Source organism: Homo sapiens, chromosome 10, assembly GCF_000001405.40.
Source record: "Homo sapiens chromosome 10, GRCh38.p14 Primary Assembly".
NCBI lineage: Eukaryota > Metazoa > Chordata > Mammalia > Primates > Hominidae > Homo > Homo sapiens.
Window position 1 is genome coordinate 71862982 of NC_000010.11, and position 17874 is coordinate 71880855.

General features: G+C 52.4%; 1 long non-coding RNA gene across 1 annotated transcript, besides 2 other annotated features; it reads left to right on the forward strand.

Moving 5' to 3' along the window:
- Positions 10638-10707: an enhancer, noted in NCBI's record as "active region_3524". NCBI's record gives its function as "activates an Ori minimal core promoter by ATAC-STARR-seq in GM12878 lymphoblastoid cells {active_cell/tissue: GM12878}" and the evidence as "EXISTENCE:reporter gene assay evidence [ECO:0000049][PMID:35858748]".
- Positions 13016-13896: an enhancer, noted in NCBI's record as "H3K27ac-H3K4me1 hESC enhancer chr10:73635755-73636635 (GRCh37/hg19 assembly coordinates)". NCBI's record gives its function as "activates a minimal SCP1, AML or CMV promoter by ChIP-STARR-seq in naive H9 embryonic stem cells {active_cell/tissue: H9 hESC(naive)}" and the evidence as "EXISTENCE:reporter gene assay evidence [ECO:0000049][PMID:30033119]".
- On the forward strand, positions 15106-16126 carry LINC03139 (long intergenic non-protein coding RNA 3139). The gene is made up of 2 exons (XR_007062186.1): positions 15106-15504; positions 15732-16126. It is a non-coding gene; the product is annotated as a long intergenic non-protein coding RNA 3139 (long non-coding RNA).
- Positions 16127-17874: the final 1748 nt, after the last annotated feature.

Genomic DNA, 17874 nt, shown 5'->3' on the forward strand with positions numbered 1-17874 from the left:
CTTCATCAAGATTGTGACACCCTATGAAGACACTTCCCAATTGGCCCCTGGCCTCCACAATGACACCTATCCTAATCCTCAGGGCAGTGGACTGAGAACACGCTTGGCTCAGGCTGGACGTTTGTGTCTTAAATGACCTTGGACACAAGTGGGCTGGAATTAGGGCCTCTGAATCTTTAGGTTTTCTGGAGATTTCCATTATAAGTTATGATCCTGTCTTCAGAGTTTCTTTATCTTATTAGGAGTTTGACTGAGTACTACTCTGAGTTCGAATTACCTCACCCAGGAACCCAACACCCAACCCAAACCTGAGAGCTTTGCTTATAGAGAGAGGACTGGCTTTCATGTCAGGGACCTGGAATCTCCTCCTTGATCTGCTTCTTGCTGGCTGAGTCACCTCTGGGGAGAACTTCACCTCCCCATACTTCAGTACGTGCATTACGAACATGGACGTAGTCTGGCAACTGGGAGGAGCTGTGCCCACCGAAGGAATCATTGTGCCTTTAAGGGCATAAACCTGGTTTGAGATCAAATCCGTCCACTGAAACATTAATTCAACAATCCTCCCACCTCAGCCTCCTGAGGAGCTGGGACTACTGGTGTACATCACCATACCCAGCTAATGTCTTATTTTTTGTAAAGATAGGGTCTCACAATGTTGCTCAGGTTGGTCTTGAATTCCCGGGCTCAAGGGATCCTCCCACTTCAGCCTCCCAAAGTGCTGAGATTACAGGCATGAGCCACTGTGCCTGGCAGATTTGTACACTTTATTTATTTATTTATATAATAAATAGAGATGAGGTCTCGCTATGTTGCCCAGGCTGGATTCAAACTCCTGTCCTCAAGCGATCAGCCCACCTCGGCCTCCCAAAGTGCCAGGATTACAGGCATGAGCCACCTCACGCAGCAAATTGTACACTTTTTTTTTCCCCGAGACGGAGTCTCGCTCTCTCACCCAGGCTGGAGTGCAGTGGCACGATCTAGGCTCACTGCAACCTTCGCCTCCCAGGTTCAAGTGATTCTCCTGCCTCAGCCTCCCGAGTAGCAGGGACTACACCACATGTGCCACCACACCCAGTTAATTTTTGTATTTTTAATAGAGATAGGGTTTCACCATGTTGGCCAGGCTGGTGGCGAACTCCTGACCTCTAGTGATCCCTCCACCTCGGCCTCCCAAAGTGCTGGGATTACAGGTGTGAGCCACCATGCCTGGCCCCAGTTGTACACTTTAAATGTGTGAATTGCATGGTATATAAATTATAACGCAATAAAAAAATTTTCTTCTTCTTTCTGAGACAAGGTCTCTCTCTGTTGCCTAGGCTGTAGTGCAGTGGCACAATCATGGCACATTACAGCCTCGACCTCCTGGGTTCACATGATCCTCCTGCCTCAGCCTCCCAAATAGCTGGAACCACAGGTGTGTGCCACCACACCCAAATAACATTTTTTTTTAAATTTTTTTGAGATGGAGTTTTGCTCTTATTGCCCAGGCTGGAGTGCAGTGGCGCAATCTTGGCTCACCACAACCTCCGCCTCCCGGGTTCAAGCAATTCTCCTGCCTCAGCCTCACGAGTAGCTGGGATTACAGGCATGCACCACCACGGCTGGCTAATTTTGTATTTTTAGTAGAGATGGGTTTTCTCCATGTTGCTCAGGCTGGTCTCGAACTCTCAACCTCAGGTGATCCGCCTGCTTCAGCCTCCCAAAGTGCTGGGATTACAGGCGTGAGCCACCGCACCCAGCTATTTTTATTTTTTTTTGAGATGGAGCCTTGCTCTGTCACCCAGGCTGGAGCGCAGTGGTGAGGTCTCGGCTCACTAAAACCTCCACCTCCTGGATTCAAGTGATTTTCCTGCCTCAGCTGGGACTGCAGGTGCATGCCACCAAGCCCGGCTAATTTTTTTTTTTTTTTTTTTTTTTTGTATTTTTAGTAGAGATGGGGTTTCATCATGTTGGCCAGGCTGGTCTCGAACTTCTGACCCCAACTGATTCACCCACCACAGTCTCCCACAGTGCTGTGATTATAGGCATGAGTCACCATGCCTGGCCTCCTTCTCCTTCTTCTTCTTCTTCTTCGTCTTCATCTTCATCTTCTTTTTTTTAAAAAAAGAGGCAATAAAATATTTCTCTTAAGCAATCTAGCTTGAAAGTGTCCAGAGGAGGAGACGCTAAGGTCCAAATCCCGCTCTATCCCTTAGCTGTACCAACTGTGAGATCCTGCTGGGCACCAACCCTTGGTGTCCTCATTCAGAAGGTGGACAGCCCCTGGGCCTAGGCTGTTGTGAAAATGAGAGGAGGGCAGGGAGGAAATGCACCTGGCACTGGGCCTGCTGTGTGCTGGTCAGGATGCCATCAGCAGGAACAACAGGCGGAGGAGGCTGCAGGTGAATGATGGTGTTGGGGGAAGTTCTTTCCCTTTTATTTATTAAGAAGGGGAGGAGGGTTTCTTAATGGAGAAAGAAAGTGGGGAAACTATCCCAGAGCCTGTGCATCCCAGGGGACCTTTGTTCTCCAACCTCCCCTCTCCCAGCCCCACCCCCGCCATGGGCCTATATCTGCTCCACAAGCCCCCACAAGTGTAGTTACCTGGCAGCCCCATCCCCATGGTTGCCTCACCCCAGTGCTGGTAGCAGGACAAGGGGGCTGCCGAGGCTGGAGTGATGTCAATGCTGGGGGAGGAGAGAGACCCTCAGTCCACTGCCACCAACCCTGCCAACAGCAGTTGCTGAGGAGCGTGCTGTGCTGACTGTGGGCTGGGCTCTTGCTTCCCCTCATCTGCCCACAGTCCAGGTGTTCCCAGCATCCCCCCATCCCCTCCCCCGCCTGCCCAGCTGCTGAGCCAGTGTCTGACAACACCCAGACCCAAGATGTCAGAGCCTGTCCCCTGCATCCCAGCGGGAGCTGTTCCTGGACTCAGAGGCTGTGGTCTACAGAAAAGGCCCTGATAGGAGTCTGAGCTGGTTCCTAGTCCACACTCATCACAACCAAGCTATGGGACTTTGGGCAAGGCACTGCGCCCCTCCGGTTGCGCTGTCCCCATCACCAATGTGACTGTGGGAGCCAGGGTACGGGTCATCCAGGCCCCACTCCATGGTAGCACAGTGGCCCTGGAGGCCAGTGCTTCTGGTGGTAGGTGTCCCAGATGATGCTGGCCATTTGCATGGGCTCTCTCTGGCCCTGGAAGGAGTGAGGGCAAGGGTTGGAACCCTACTGTGTGCGGGACTCTGTGCCCTCCATGTGCTCCACCTCATTTAAACTTCACCGACCCCATGGGTCCAGTGTGAATAAGTGGGCAGGCTCTTCCAGGCCTCATGGTCAGACAGTCTGGACTCATATCCCATCTCCACCATGGACTAGCTGAGTGACCCGGGCAGAATATTTACCTTCTCTGTGCCTCAGTTTCCCCATCTATAAAATGAGGCCAAAATAGTACCTTTCTAACGGAGTAGTTGGGACAGACTGATTGAATACATGTCAACTGGGCAGAACAGTGCCTGGCACACGTTAAGCCCACAATAAGGTTAACTGTTGTTATTACTAGTCCCATCTTATAAGGAACTTGGGGCTCAGGGAAGCTAAGTGGCTTGCCCAAGGACACACCGCTAGAAAATGGTGGGGCAGGGCTTTCCACTTTTTTTTTTTTTTTTTTTTTTTGAGACAGAGTCTTGCTCTGTCACCCAGGCGGGAGTGCAGTGGTGCCATCTTGGCTCACTGCAATCTCTGTCTCCAGGGTTCAAGCAATTCTCCTGCCTCAGCCTCCTGAGTAGCTGGGAGCACAGGTGTGAACCACCACGCCTGGCTAATGTTTGTATTTTTAGTAGAGACGGGGTTTTGCCACGATGCCCAGGCTGGTCTCGAACTCCTGACCTCAAGTAATCTGCCCCCCTCAGCCTCCCAAAGTACTGGGATTACAGACATGAAGTTGATGTTCCTTCCCACCACCCAGTACTGGACCCCTTAAAAAAAATCCTGAGATGAGCAGTGTGGTAAATGCTGATGGTCTCAGGAATGGCATTAAAAAATAATCATGTAGCCAGGCACAGTGACTCACACATCTAATCCCAGATCCCAGCACTTTGGTAGGCCAAGGCAGGTGGATCATTTGAGCCCAGGAGTTCGAGACCAGCCTGGGCAACGTAGCGAAACTCCATCTCTACAAAAAATTATCCGGGCATGGTGGCAAGTGCCTGTAGTTCCAGCTACTCAGGAGGCTGAGGCAGGAGGATCACTTGAGTCCAGGGAGGTACTGGGTGGTGGAGTGCAGTGGGAGACACCACTGCACTCCAACCTGGGTGACAGGGTGAGACCCTGTCTCAAAATAATAAGTGGCCAGGCACAGTGGCTCACGCCTATAATCCCAGCGCTTTGGGAGGCCAAGGCGGGTGGATCACCTGAGGTCAGGAGATGGAGACCAGTCTGACCAACATGGAGAAACCTCGTCTGTACTAAAAATACAAAATTAGCCAGGCATGGTGGTGCATGCCTGTAATCCCAGCTACTAGGGAGGCTGAGGCAGGAGGATCTCTTGAACCCAGGAGGTGGAGGTTGTGGTGAGCCGAGATCGCACCACTGCACTCCAGCCTGGGCAACAAGAGCGAAACTCCGTCTCAAAAAAATAAATAAATAAATAAAATAAAAAAGAAAGAAAGAAAAAGACATGAAAATAATGATAACAAGGTTTATTTTCTGATTACCAAGGCAGTACAGTAGTCCCCCTTGCTTATCCAAGGTTTTGCTTTCTGCAGTTTCAGTTACCTGTGGTCAACTAAGTTCCAAAAATACTAAGACATTTTGAGAGAGAGAGAGAGAGAGAGCATGCTGACCTAACTTTATTACAGCACATTGTTATAATTGTTCTACTTATTTATTGTTGTTAATCCGTTACTGTGCCTGACTTATGAATTCAACTTTTATCACAGGTGTGTATGTATAGAAAAAGCAGAACATATATAGGGTTCGATACTATCACTTAGGTCTCAGGCATCTACTGGGGCTCTGGGAAAGTATCCCCTGAAGATAAGGGCGACTACAATATTTGTTCACTATCAGTAACTGAGAAAATGCGGAAAAGCGGAAAAGAGACAAGTAAAAATATTTTTCCCTTCGGGGAAAACCCTTTCTTCTTTGGATAACTAAAAACCTGATCTCCTGCATGTTGTGAGACCTATCAAAGGGAGGTGGCCTTCACTCACCTTAAGCAAGGCTTGACGTTGTCCAAGGGCCCAGCAGGAGATATTGCCAGCACCCACCCTCCCCAGGGTAAACACAGCCCCTTCCACTCCCTCCTGGGGCCTTCGGGCCCCACCTGGGGTCACAGCCTTGAGGATGCACACTGCAAGCCACAGCCTGCAGCTGCTTAGGTCATGTGATTCAGTGAATGCCAAGCCACAGGGCTCAGTCCTCCTCAGAATTGTCTGGGTCACCCAGAACACCCTATGTGAGCCATGTGATTCAGCGGGGTCACATGCTGAGCCACAGGCATTTGACTCCATGCCAAATGTCATCACTTCCAGAAAGTTAGCAAAAAATTATGGTGGCTCTGGTGTGGCAAGCACAGGGCAGGGCAAAGGAGACCGTCACTCCGAGATACCAACACCTGTTAAAAGAGGATGAGCTGGGAGAAGCGGATTGCTTGAGCTCAGGAGTTCAAGGCAGCAAGGAGCTATAATCATGTTTTTTTTTTCTTTTTTTTTTTTATTGATCATTCTTGGGTGTTTCTCGCAGAGGGGGATTTGGCAGGGTCACAGGACAATAGTGGAGGGAAGGTCAGCAGATAAACAAGTGAACAGAGGTCTCTGGTTTTCCTAGGCAGAGGACCCTGCGGCCTTCCGCAGTGTTTGTGTCCCTGGGTACTTGAGATTAGGGAGTGGTGATGACTCTTAAGGAGCATGCTGCCTTCAAGCATCTGTTTAACAAAGCACATCTTGCACCACCCTTAATCCATTCAACCCTGAGTGGACACAGCACATGTTTCAGAGAGCACAGGGTTGGGGGCAAGGTCACAGATCAACAGGATCCCAAGGAAGAAGAATTTTTCTTAGTACAGCACAAAATGAAAAGTCTCCCATGTCTACCTCTTTCTACACAGACACGGCAACCATCCGATTTCTCAATCTTTTCCCCACCTTTCCCCCCTTTCTATTCCACAAAACCGCCATTGTCATCATGGCCCATTCTCAATGAGCTGTTGGGTACACCTCCCAGACGGGGTGGTGGCCGGGCAGAGGGGCTCCTCACTTCCCAGTAGGGGCGGCCGGGCAGAGGCGCCCCTCACCTCCCGGATGGGGCGGCTGGCCGGACGGATGGCTGACCCCCCCCACCTCCCTCCCGGACGGGGCGGCTGGCCGGGCAGAGGGGCTCCTCACTTCCCAGTAGGGGCGGCCGGGCAGAGGCGCCCCTCACCTCCCGGACGGGGCGGCTGGCCGGGCGGGGGGCTGATCCCCCCACCTCCCTCCCGGACGGGGAGGCTGGCCGGGCGGGGGGCTGACCCCCCCACCTCCCTCCCAGACGGGGCAGCTGGCCGGGCGGGGGGCTGACCCCCCCACCTCCCTCCCGGACGGGGCGGCTGGCCGGGCAGAGGGGCTCCTCACTTCCCAGTAGGGGCGGCCGGGCAGAGGCGCCCCTCACCTCCCGGATGGGGCGGCTGGCCGGGCAGGGGGCTGACCCTCCCTACCTCCCTCCCGGACGGGGCGGCTGGCCGGGCGGGGGGCTGACTCCCCCACCTCCCTCCCGGACGGGGCGGCTGGCCGGGCGGGGGGCTGACCCCCACCTCCCTCCCAGACGGGGCGGCTGGCCTGGCGGAGACGCTCCTCACTTCCCAGACGGGGTGGCTGCCGGAGGGAGGGACTCCTCACTTCTCAGACGGTGCGGCTGCCGGGCGGAGGGGCTCCTCACTTCTCAGACGGGGTGGCCGGGCAGAGACGCTCCTCACATCCCAGACGGGGCAGCAGGGCAGAGGCGCTCCCCACATCTCAGACGATGGGCGGCCGGGCAGAGACGCTCCTCACTTCCTAGATGGGATGGCGGCCAGGCAGAGACGCTCCTCACTTCCCAGATGGGGTGGCGGCCGGGCAGAGGCTGCAATCTCAGCACTTTGGGAGGCCAAGGCAGGCTGCTGGGAGGTGGAGGTTGTAGCGAGCCGAGATCACGCCACTGCACTCCAGCCTGGGCACCATTGAGCACTGAGTGAACGAGACTCCGTCTGCAATCCCAGCACCTCGGGAAGCCGAGGCTGGTGGATCACTCGTGGTTAGGAGCTGGAGACCAGCCCGGCCAACACAGCAAAACCCCGTCTCCACCAAAAAAATACGAAAACCAGTCAGGCGTGGCGGCGCGCGCCTGCAATCGCAGGCACTCGGCAGGCTGAGGCAGGAGAATCAGGCAGGGAGGTTGCAGTGAGCCGAGATGGCAGCAGTACAGTCCAGCTTCAGCTCTGCATCAGAGGGAGACCGTGGAAAGAGAGGGAGAGGAGGGAGAGGAGGGAGAGGAGGGAGAGGAGGGAGAGGAGGGAGAGGGAGAGGGAGAGGGAGAGAGCTATAATCATGTTACTGCACTCCAGCTTGAGCAACAGTGGGAGACCCAGTTTCTTAAGAAGAAAAAAAAAAAGGAAAAAGTATCCCAGCACTTTGAGAGGTCGAGGCGGGCGGATCACAAGGTCAGAAGTTTGAAACCAGCCTGGCCAATATGGTGAAACCCCGTCTCTACTAAAAATACAAAAATTAGCTGGAAGTAGTGGCAGGCACCTGCAGTCCTAGGTACTCGGGAGGCTGAGGCAGGAGAATCGCTTGAACCCAGGAGGCGGAGATTGCAGTGAGCCAAGATCGCGCCTCTGCTCTCCAGCCTGGGCGACAGAGCAAGATTCCATCCCAGAAAAAAAAAAAGGAAAAAGTTAATATTAAATACTAATTTTAAGTAACTATAAGTAATTACAACTATTTTCACTTTAAACATTAAGTAAAATAATATAAAATTAAATTAAAAATTTAACCTAAAAAATTTAAATTAAGTAAATGTTAATACTCATTAATCTAATTAAATTAATGAAAATCTGCAAAAACAAAGCAAAAAACCCTTAACCATGCCAGCACTCTGTAAGTTCTCAATAACACATTTAAAAGTAAACTGAGGCACAATAAAATTAGAAGGTTTATTTATTCATATTTTATTTTATTTATTTATTTATTTAAAGACAGGGTCTCACTCTGTTGCCCAGACTGGAGTACAGTGGCACGATCTTGGCTCACTGCAACCTCTGCCTCCCAGGCTCAAGCAATTCTCCTGCCTCAGCCTCCCGAGTAGCTGGGATTACAGGCATGCGCCACTACCGCCGGCTAATTTTTGTTTTTGTTTTTGTTTTTGTTTCAGTGGAGACAGGGTTTCACCATGTTGGTCAGGCTGGTTTCCAACTCCTGACCTCAAATGATCCACCTGCCTCGGCCTCCTGAAGTGCTGGGATTACAGGCGTGAACCACTGCGCCCGGTGTAGAAAGTTTATTTGAGCAAATGATGACTCATGAATCAGGCAGATCCAAACCAGAAGTGATTCATGAGCTCTACTGAGAGAACACAGCTGGGACAGATACAGAAGTAAAGCTAAGGTGGAGGCTGCAGTGAACTAAGATCGCCCCATTGCACTCCAGCCTGGGCAACAGAGCAAGACTGTCTCCAAAAAAAAAAAAAAAAGGTAAAGCCAAGAAAATATTTGATTATTTGATTTGGCAGGGCACGGTGGTTCACACCTATAATCCCAACACTTTGGGGGGCTGAGGCGGGAGGGTCACTTGAGCCCAGGAGTTCAAGACCAGCCTCGGCAGCATGGCGAAACCCCATCTCAAAAAATACACAAAATTAGCTGGGTGTGGTGTTGTGGGCATGTGGTCTTAGCTGCTTGGGAGGCTGAGGTGGGAGGATCACTTGAGCCCAGGAGGTTGAGGCTACAGGGAGCCATGAACATGCCACTGCACTCCAGCCTAGGTGACAGAGCAAGACTCTGTCTCTAAAATAAATAAATAGGCATGACACAGTGGCTCACGCCTATAATCCCAGCACTTTGGGAGGCTGTGGTGGGTGGATCACTTGAGGTCAGGAGTTGGAGACCAGCCTGGCCAACATGGTGAAACCCCATCTCTACTAAAAATATAAAAATTAGCCAGGCATGATGGTGGGCGCCTGTAATCCCAGCTACTCGGGAGGCTGAGGTGGGAGAATTGCTTGAACCCGGGAGGCTGCAGCGGGAGAATTGCTTGAACACAGGAGGCTGAGCCGAGATGGTGCCACTGCACTCCAGCCTGGGAAACAGAGCAAGACTCCATCTCAATAAATAAATAAATAAATAAATAAATAAATAAATAAATAAATAAATAAAATAGAGCTTGCAGTCCCTCAGAGAGCACCCTAGTCCAATGGCCTCCTTTTACAGGAAGAGAAACTGAGGCCCAGAGGGATCAAGAGGCTCCCCCAAGGTCACCCAGCAAGAGGCTAGAGCTGGGACAAAACCCCCAAGTTTCTGACTCCCTGGGCAAGGCTTTTTCCACTGTTTTGGTCTTTGGCCATAGAGATAATCTGCTTAAAAAATTAACTTGGGATTTCATGTAATCACTGAGGCCTCAGAAGCCTTGCCCAAGGAAAGACGAGGAGGGTTTATTAAGCTTTGTTCTAGGAGTTACAGGGACAAGGCCACATAGCAGGGCTAGAAACTGATGTGTGCCACCCTCCTCCAGGCCAGTAGCAGCTTGTATTTCTAGAAAAGGCTTAATTTTCCAGGTCAGGGCAGGTCCCAGAAGGCACCTTCTGGGGATGCGGCTGGACCCCGTGACTCAGCTGATTCCACATTATTCTCTGTTTCCCTCCCCACTCAGGGTGACTGCCAGATTCTGGCCTCCCTTGGGCCTTCAGAGATGGAAGTGATCTTAGGTTGTTGGTGGGTCCTACAACCTATAGTGGAAAGGTGACCATCTAATTTTTTTTTTTTTTTTTTTGAGACAGAGTCTGGCCCTGTTGCCCAGGCTGGAGTGCAATGGCGCGATCTCGGCTCACTGCAACATTCGCCTCCCAGGTTCAAGCAATTCTCCTGCGTCAGCCTCCTGAGTAGTTGGGGTTACAGGTGTGCAACCACTTCCAGCTAATTTTTGTATTTTTAGTATAGATGGATTTCTTTTCTTTTTTTTTTTTTTTTAGAAGGAATTTCGCCCTCTCACCCAGGCTGGAGTGCAGTGGCATGATCCAGTCTTGGCTCACTGCAACCTCCGCCTCCCGATCCAAGCGATTCTCCTGCCTCAGCCTCCCAAGTAGCTGGGATTACAAGTGCGCACCACCATGCCCGGCTAATTTTTTGTATTTTTTTAGTAGAGATGGGGTTTCACCATGCAGCCCAGGCTGGTCCCAAACTCCTGACCTCGTGATCCACCTGCCTCGGCCTCCCAAAGTGCTGGGATTACAGGCATGAGCCACCACGCCCGGCCTGAGATAGGGTTTCACCATGTTGGCCAGGCTGGTCTCAAACTCCTGATTTCAGATGATCCACCCGTCTAGGCCTCCCAAAGTGCTGGGATTACAGGTGTGAGCCACCATGCCCACTTGTGTCTAATTTATCATCCTCACCAGGACACTTTTGAGCATGGCCAGGGACATCTGGTCACCCAGCCACTGCTATCTCTGAGCATCATGATGGGTTGAAGAGTCAGTGAGCCGGCGGTTGAGGACCCACTGTGCTTGGGTCCCATACCTGATGAGAAAGAAGGGCCCAAGTCCCAGGCCTGCAAAACCACAGCCCTAGAAGGAGTGAGAGCACACAGCCAGCATGACCCAGGAAACTAGAACTGAAACCCTCAAAGCTGAAAGGTCTAGATGACTGTCCTTACTGTCCCAACGGGGAGCACACAGCTCTGAAAGGCCAAGGGCCTTGCCCAAGGTTACCCCCCGAGAAGATCAGAGACTCAAACCCAGGTTCCCAACTCTCAGCTCAGTGTGCGCTGTGCCACCGGTTCCCTTTCATCTGCAAACCCCCTGCCTATCTGGAAGGTGTGCACACAGCCTGGAAGCTTGTTATACTGGATTGTAAAAATTGTTCCTTGCCCTGGACTGGTGTGTGGCTTTGTTTGTGTGTGGCTTCCTAATCCTGCAGCCCCTGTGGGTGGGGAGGTCCCCTTTGCAAATAAGCGTGCCAGGCTCCAGAACCCAGGGAGAAGGCAAATATTTCCTGAACTAAACCTGCTCTCAGCACTTCCACTACTACTACCCCAGTCCAGGCCACCATCATCTCCCAGGTGGCCTCAGTGGCCTCTAAGTGGTATCCGGGATCCTTCTCTTTTCCCCACTCTTCATCCTCCATGTCAGAGCATGGAGCCTGGGTGCAGATCCCACACAACTCTCCCTCAGAGCTATCCACGCTCAAATCCTGGATGCACAGCAATGTCATGTGGCTGCCATCCTCCTGTCTGGCTTCCCCGTGTCCCCTTTCTTTCTTTCTTTTTTTTTTTTTGTTTGAGATGTAGTCTTGCTCTGTCGCCCAGGCTGGAGTGCAGTGGCGCGATCTCTGCTCATTGCAAGCTCTGCCTCCCGGGTTCACACCATTCTCCTGCCTCAGCCTCCCGAGTAGCTAGGACTACAGGCACCTGCCACCACGTCCGGCTAATTTTCTGTATTTTTAGGAGAGATGGGGTTTCACCGTGTTAGCCAGGATGGTCTCGATCTCCTGACCTCGTGATCCACCCGCCTTGGCCTCCTAAAGTGCTGGGATTACAAGCGTGAGCCACCGGGCCCAGCCCCCCGTGTCCCCTTTCTTGGTATCCTGCCACCTCACACAAGAAAGGCACAACTCCCGCCCAACTGGGCCTTCCATGGGGCAGTGCCCTGTGAACAACCTCCTACCCCCAGTAGGTAGTTAGAGAGGTACCTGGAGGCAGAGCCTGTTCTCAGCACACTATGAGGGCAGGAACCAGGGTCACACTCCTTTGGCCCAGATAAGGCTCAGAAGTGAGAACGTTGTCATGGGGCCACACCCTTATTTGAATTTCAAACATGAAGCCAGGGTTTTCTGACAGAAAGAAAGTCTTGTCTTGCTTGACTGTGTTGATGGGGCGTGATGTGGCAGGCATTCTTCTTAAAGGGACTAAATGTGTAGCCCCAGTTTTGTGTGGAAAAAATATTTATTTATTTATTTATTTTTATTTATTTATTTTTTTTTATTGATCATTCTTGGGTGTTTCTCGCAGAGGGGGATTTGGCAGGGTCAGAGGACAATAGTGGAGGGAAGGTCAGCAGATAAACACGTGAACAAAGGTCTCTGGTTTTCCTAGGCAGAGGACCCTGCGGCCTTCCGCAGTGTTTGTGTCCCTGGGTACTTGCGATTAGGGAGTGGTGATGACTCTTAAGGAGCATGCTGCCTTCAAGCATCTGTTTAACAAAGCACAACTTGCACCGCCCTTAATCCATTCAACCCTGAGTGGATACAGCACATGTTTCAGAGAGCACAGGGTTGGGGGTAAGGTCACAGATCAACAGGATCCCAAGGCAGAAGAATTTTTCTTAGTACAGAACAAAATGAAAAGTCTCCCATGTCTACCTCTTTCTACACAGACACGGCAACCATCCGATTTCTCAATCTTTTCCCCACCTTTCCCCCCTTTCTATTCCACAAAACCGCCATTGTCATCATGGCCCGTTCTCAATGAGCTGTTGGGTACACCTCCCAGACCGGGTGGTGGCCGGGCAGAGGGGCTCCTCACTTCCCAGTAGGGGCGGCCGGGCAGAGGCGCCCCTCACCTCCCGGACGGGGCGGCTGGCCAGGCGGGGGGCTGACCCCCCCACCTCCCTCCCAGACGGGGCGGCTGGCCGGGCGGGGGGCTGACCCCCCCACCTCCCTCCCAGACGGGGCGGCTGGCCGGGCGGGGGGCTGACCCCCCCACCTCCCTCCCGGACGAGGTGGCTGCCGGGCGGAGACGCTCCTCACTTCCCAGACGGGGTGGCTGCTGGGCGGAGGGGCTCCTCACTTCTCAGACGGGGCGGTTGCCAGGCAGAGGGTCTCCTCACTTCTCAGACGGGGCGGCCGGGCAGAGACGCTCCTCACATCCCAGACGGGGCGTCAGGGCAGAGGTGCTCCCCACATCTCAGACAATGGGCGGCCGGGCAGAGACGCTCCTCACTTCCCAGATGTGATGGCGGCCGGGAAGAGGCGCTCCTCACTTCCTAGATGGGATGGCGGCCAGGCAGAGACGCTCCTCACTTTCCAGACTGGGCAGCCAGGCAGAGGGGCTCCTCACATCCCCGACGATGGGCGGCCAGGCAGAGACGCTCCTCACTTCCCAGACGGGGTGGCGGCCGGGCAGAGGCTGCAATCTCGGCACTTTGGGAGGCCAAGGCAGGCGGCTGGGAGGTGGAGGTTGTAGCAAGCCGAGATCACGCCACTGCACTCCAGCCTGGGCACCGTTGAGCACTGAGTGAACGAGACTCCATCTGCAATCCCGGCACCTCGGGAGGCCGAGGCTGGCGGATCACTCGCGGTTAGGAGCTGGAGACCAGCCCGGCCAACACAGCGAAACCCTGTCTTCACCAAAAAAATACGAAAACCAGTCAGGCGTGGCGGCGCGCGCCTGCAATCGCAGGCACTCGGCAGGCTGAGGCAGGAGAATCAGGCAGGGAGGTTGCAGTGAGCCGAGATGGCAGCAGTACCATCCAGCTTCGGCTCGGCATCAGAGGGAGACTGTGGAAAGAAAGGGAGAGGGAGACCGTGGGGAGAGGGAGAGGGAGAGGGAGCGGGAGCGGGAGCGGAAAAAATATTTAAAGATGATATACAGTCTACAGCAAACCACCAAATGCATCATTTGCAAGTTTAGGCTAATGATAAAAATTTCAAAGGGGCCAGGCACATTTGCTCATGCCTGTAATCCCAGCACTTTGGGAGGCCAAGGAGGGCGGATCACCTGAGGTCAGGAGTTCGAGACCAGCCTGGCCAACATGGTGAAACCCCCGTCTCTACTGCAACTATAACGATTAGCCGGGTATGGTGGCAGGTGCCTGTAATCCCACTTACTCAGGAGGCTAAGGCAGGAGAATCGCTTGAACCTGGGAAGTGGAGGTTGCAGTGAGCCGAGGTCGTGCCATTGCACTCCAGCCTGGGTGACAGAGTGAGAGTCCATCTCAAAAAAAAAAAAAAAAAATTTGAAAGGGGTTTTTTAAAGGGTGCCTGTGGACAAAGTGTGATCACTGTTGTGTGGAAGTGATCCTTTACGATCCCAATCAGATCACACCATTTGCTGTTCACACATCTCCAGTGGCCTCTTTTGCCTTTGAGCATGCCCAGGTCGTTTCCCCCCAGTCTGGAGGCTCTTGCCCTTTGCTCCTGCTCCAGATATTCATTCTGCATCTGCTCCCTAGCAGCTTTCTCTCTGCCATCCTGCCATCTTTTCTTCTTGCCATGCTAGCATATGTTTATTTATGAGTGGCAGCTGTATCTCTAGTCACTAGGTCAGGACCTGGTATATTCTAGGCGCCCTGGAAGCATTCTCCAGAAACAGAGGTGCGGTGAGGAGAGTTTGGATCCAGTTTGGACTGCAGATAAATGTTTGTGAGGCTGGGCATGGTGGCTCACACCTGCAATCCCAGCGCTTTCAGAGGCCAAGGCGGGAGGACCGCCAGAGCCCAGGAGTGAGAGACCAGCCTGTGCAACATAGTGAGACCCCTGTCTAATTATTTTAAAAAAGGTTGTTTGTGAAATGACTGAGCAAGTAAATAATGAAGGAGTGAAGGAACTTGGACTGATGACCTGGAACACCTGTACCCTTCTCCCACTCCAAAAAACCCCTGCCCATCCTCACAATCCAGGGCCAGCATCACTCTTTTTTTCTGGAAGCTTCCTCAGTATCCTGGGTATGGGTCCCCTGTGATTCATGGAGGACCCCCAGTGGGGCTCCCAATGGCACGGCATTACCAGCACCTGCACCTGCTGCCTCCCCAGTCACCCCTGGCTCCCAGGGTTCCATTGCACAGTAGATCCTCTAGAAATGCTTCACAGACATTGATGTGGTGAGGGAGGAGGGACAGGGTAGCAGTCTCACCACCCATTACCCCCACCCCCGCCTCTCATTCAACGAACACTTTGAGCACCTGGCACTTTGATCCCCTCAGTGCCAGGCACTGAGCTCCAAATCCCAGACTCTGTAACGTGCAAGCAATCCTTACTCTTTCTATTTTAATATCTTAACCCATGTATTTATATACCTTGTCAAGTAAAATGTATTCTTTTTTAATGATTCTCAAAAGGATACTCATTGAAAAAATTTAGAAAACACCGAAAAATGCAAGGAAGAAAAATACAATTCTCTTACAATCCTGTATAATCCTGTGCCTCTAGGCCTACAGTCAGCTCCAAGCAACGGCACAGACACCTCCTCCTCCGGATGACCAGGATTGCCTCTGGGTTTGTCACAAGCTGGAACAGGGTCCTTTGGAGGATGGGGCTCTGTGAAGAAAAAGAGGTGAAGTGTTTGGATTCAGTCTGAGCCAAAGGTGAGCGTTATCAGTCCCCGAAAGGCCTCAGGGGTTGGCTGACTCTCTGAGAGGCCGGCAAGACTGGTGAAGTTCTGGAAGGGGACCTGGGGGGTGGGGCCCGGGGACCTGGGGGGTGGGGCCCGGGGACATGGGGGGTGGGGCCCGAGGCCCAGGCAGAGGCCAAACATTGCCCAGGGCCCGGCTTTAGTCTGCAACAACCCTCATTGTTCTCTCACTGTCTCTAGGCCGCTTTATCTGGGTTTAAGGACACAAGACTCCGTGAAAGACAAGCTAGTTCTTCTTCCTGCCCCGGCAGTCCACTGCAGGCCGATGCAGACGCAACCACTTCCTCAGCCGCTGTGGCTGAGAGCCCGCCACTGCACTCTATGGGCTTGGTGCTGGGTATGGAGAGGAGGGTATGACATAGCCCCTGCCCTCAGAGTTTTTTCCTACTCATTATCCCTGCTGTCTCTGGGGACTTCTTAAATGTCAGCAATCATTGTCATCTTCACTGTTGCCTCCGCAGCCACCGCACATGGCTGCACCTGGGCCATCTCCTCTGATGTAAAGGCTGTGCAGCCAAAATTTGCAATTCTTCCCCCAGCTTTTAAAATTGTAGTAAAATATATATAACATAAAATTTGCCAGCTTCACTGTTTGTTAAGTGTACAGTTCAGTGGTATGAAATACACGCATTGTGCTGTGCAAAGTCACCACCACCCATCTCCAGAACTCGCTTTATCTTGCAAAGCAGAAACTCTGTACCCATTAAACGATAACGTCCCATCCCCATCCCCCTTACCCCCAGCCCCTGTAATGCTTGTTCTTTTCTTTTTTTGAGACAGGGTCTCACTCTGTCATGCAGTCTGGAGTGCAGTGGCACGATCATAGCTAACTGCAGCCTCAACATCCTGGGCTCAAGAGATCCTCCTGCCTCAGCCTCTCAAGTAGCTGGGACTACAGGCACAGCACCACACCTGGCTATTTTTGTTCTTTCCTTTTTCTTTTCTTCTCTTTTTTTTTTTTTTTTGAGATGGAGTCTCACTCTGTCCTCCAGCCTGGAGTGCAGTGGCGCGATCTTGGCTCACTGCAAGCTCCACCTCCCAAGTTCATGCCATTCTCCTGCCTCAGCCTCCCGAGTAGCTGGGACTACAGGTGCCCACCACCATGCCCGGCTAATTTTTTGTATTTTTAGCAGAGACAGGGTTTCACTGTGTTAGCCAGGATGGTCTCAATCTCCTGACCTCGTGATCTGCTCACTTTGGCCTCCCAAAGTGCTGGGATTACAGGTGTGAGCCACCGTGCCCAGCCCTTTTTTTTCTTTTTTTATTACTGGCTTAGGTTTGAGCAGTGATCATTTTAAGTTTTTTTTGTAGAGATGGGGTCTCACTGTGTTACCCAGGCTGGTCTCAAATTCCTGGCCTCAAGCAATCCTCCTGCCTCAGCCTCCCAAAGTGTGGGGATTACAAGTGTGGGCCACCATGCCTGGTCTTCCTGTTTTTCAAATAAAATTACTTTTTATTTATTTATTTATTTATTTATTTTTAAAGATGGACTCTCGGCCAGGCAAGGTGGCTCACACCTATAATCCCAGCACTTTGGGAGGCCGAGGCAGGTGCATCACCTCAGGTCAGGAGTTTGAGACCAGCCTCACCAACATGGTGAAACCCCATCTCTACTAAAAATATAAAAATTAGCCAGGCGTGGTGGCGGGCACCTGTAATCCCAGCTACTTGGGAGGCTGAGGCAGGAGAATCGCTTGAACCTGGGAGGAGGAGGTTGCAGTGAGCTGAGATTGCACCACTGCACTCCAGCCTGGGCAACAACAGTGAAACCCTGTCTCAAAAAAAGAAAAAAGAAAGAAAAAAAAAAAAAACAAAAAACAGAGATAGAGTCTCTTTTGGCTCTCTAATGCCCATGGGATCAATGCCAAATTCATCTCCCTGGCAGTCAATGCTCTATTCTCCTTCTCCCCTCCACCTCTCCACCTCTCCAGCATGCTCCCACAACATTCTGCCCCAGTGACCTCAACCTGCAATGCCCACCTGTCCCATGGACCTCCCTGCCCATGCCTCTACTCCAGCCAATACTGGCTCATGTGTACACACCATGCTGTGTACCGTCTGTGCTTTGCTCATGCCGCTTGCCTCACCCGAGTGCCTCTCCTCCCCTCGGCTCGTCTGGTGCCTGTTTACTCTGCAAGGCCAGCGCATGCCCCCTGCATCCTGGAGGTCTCCTCTCATCATCCCAGCCCCACCGGGCTCCTGCAGCATTTCTGAGGTCTGTATCTTTCAGAGAGCTACGCTGCACATTGCCTGCTGCTCCCAGCAATCCTTACACCTTTCACCCCTCTCCCCATGTGTTTACTGGGCACCTAGGGCATGCTGA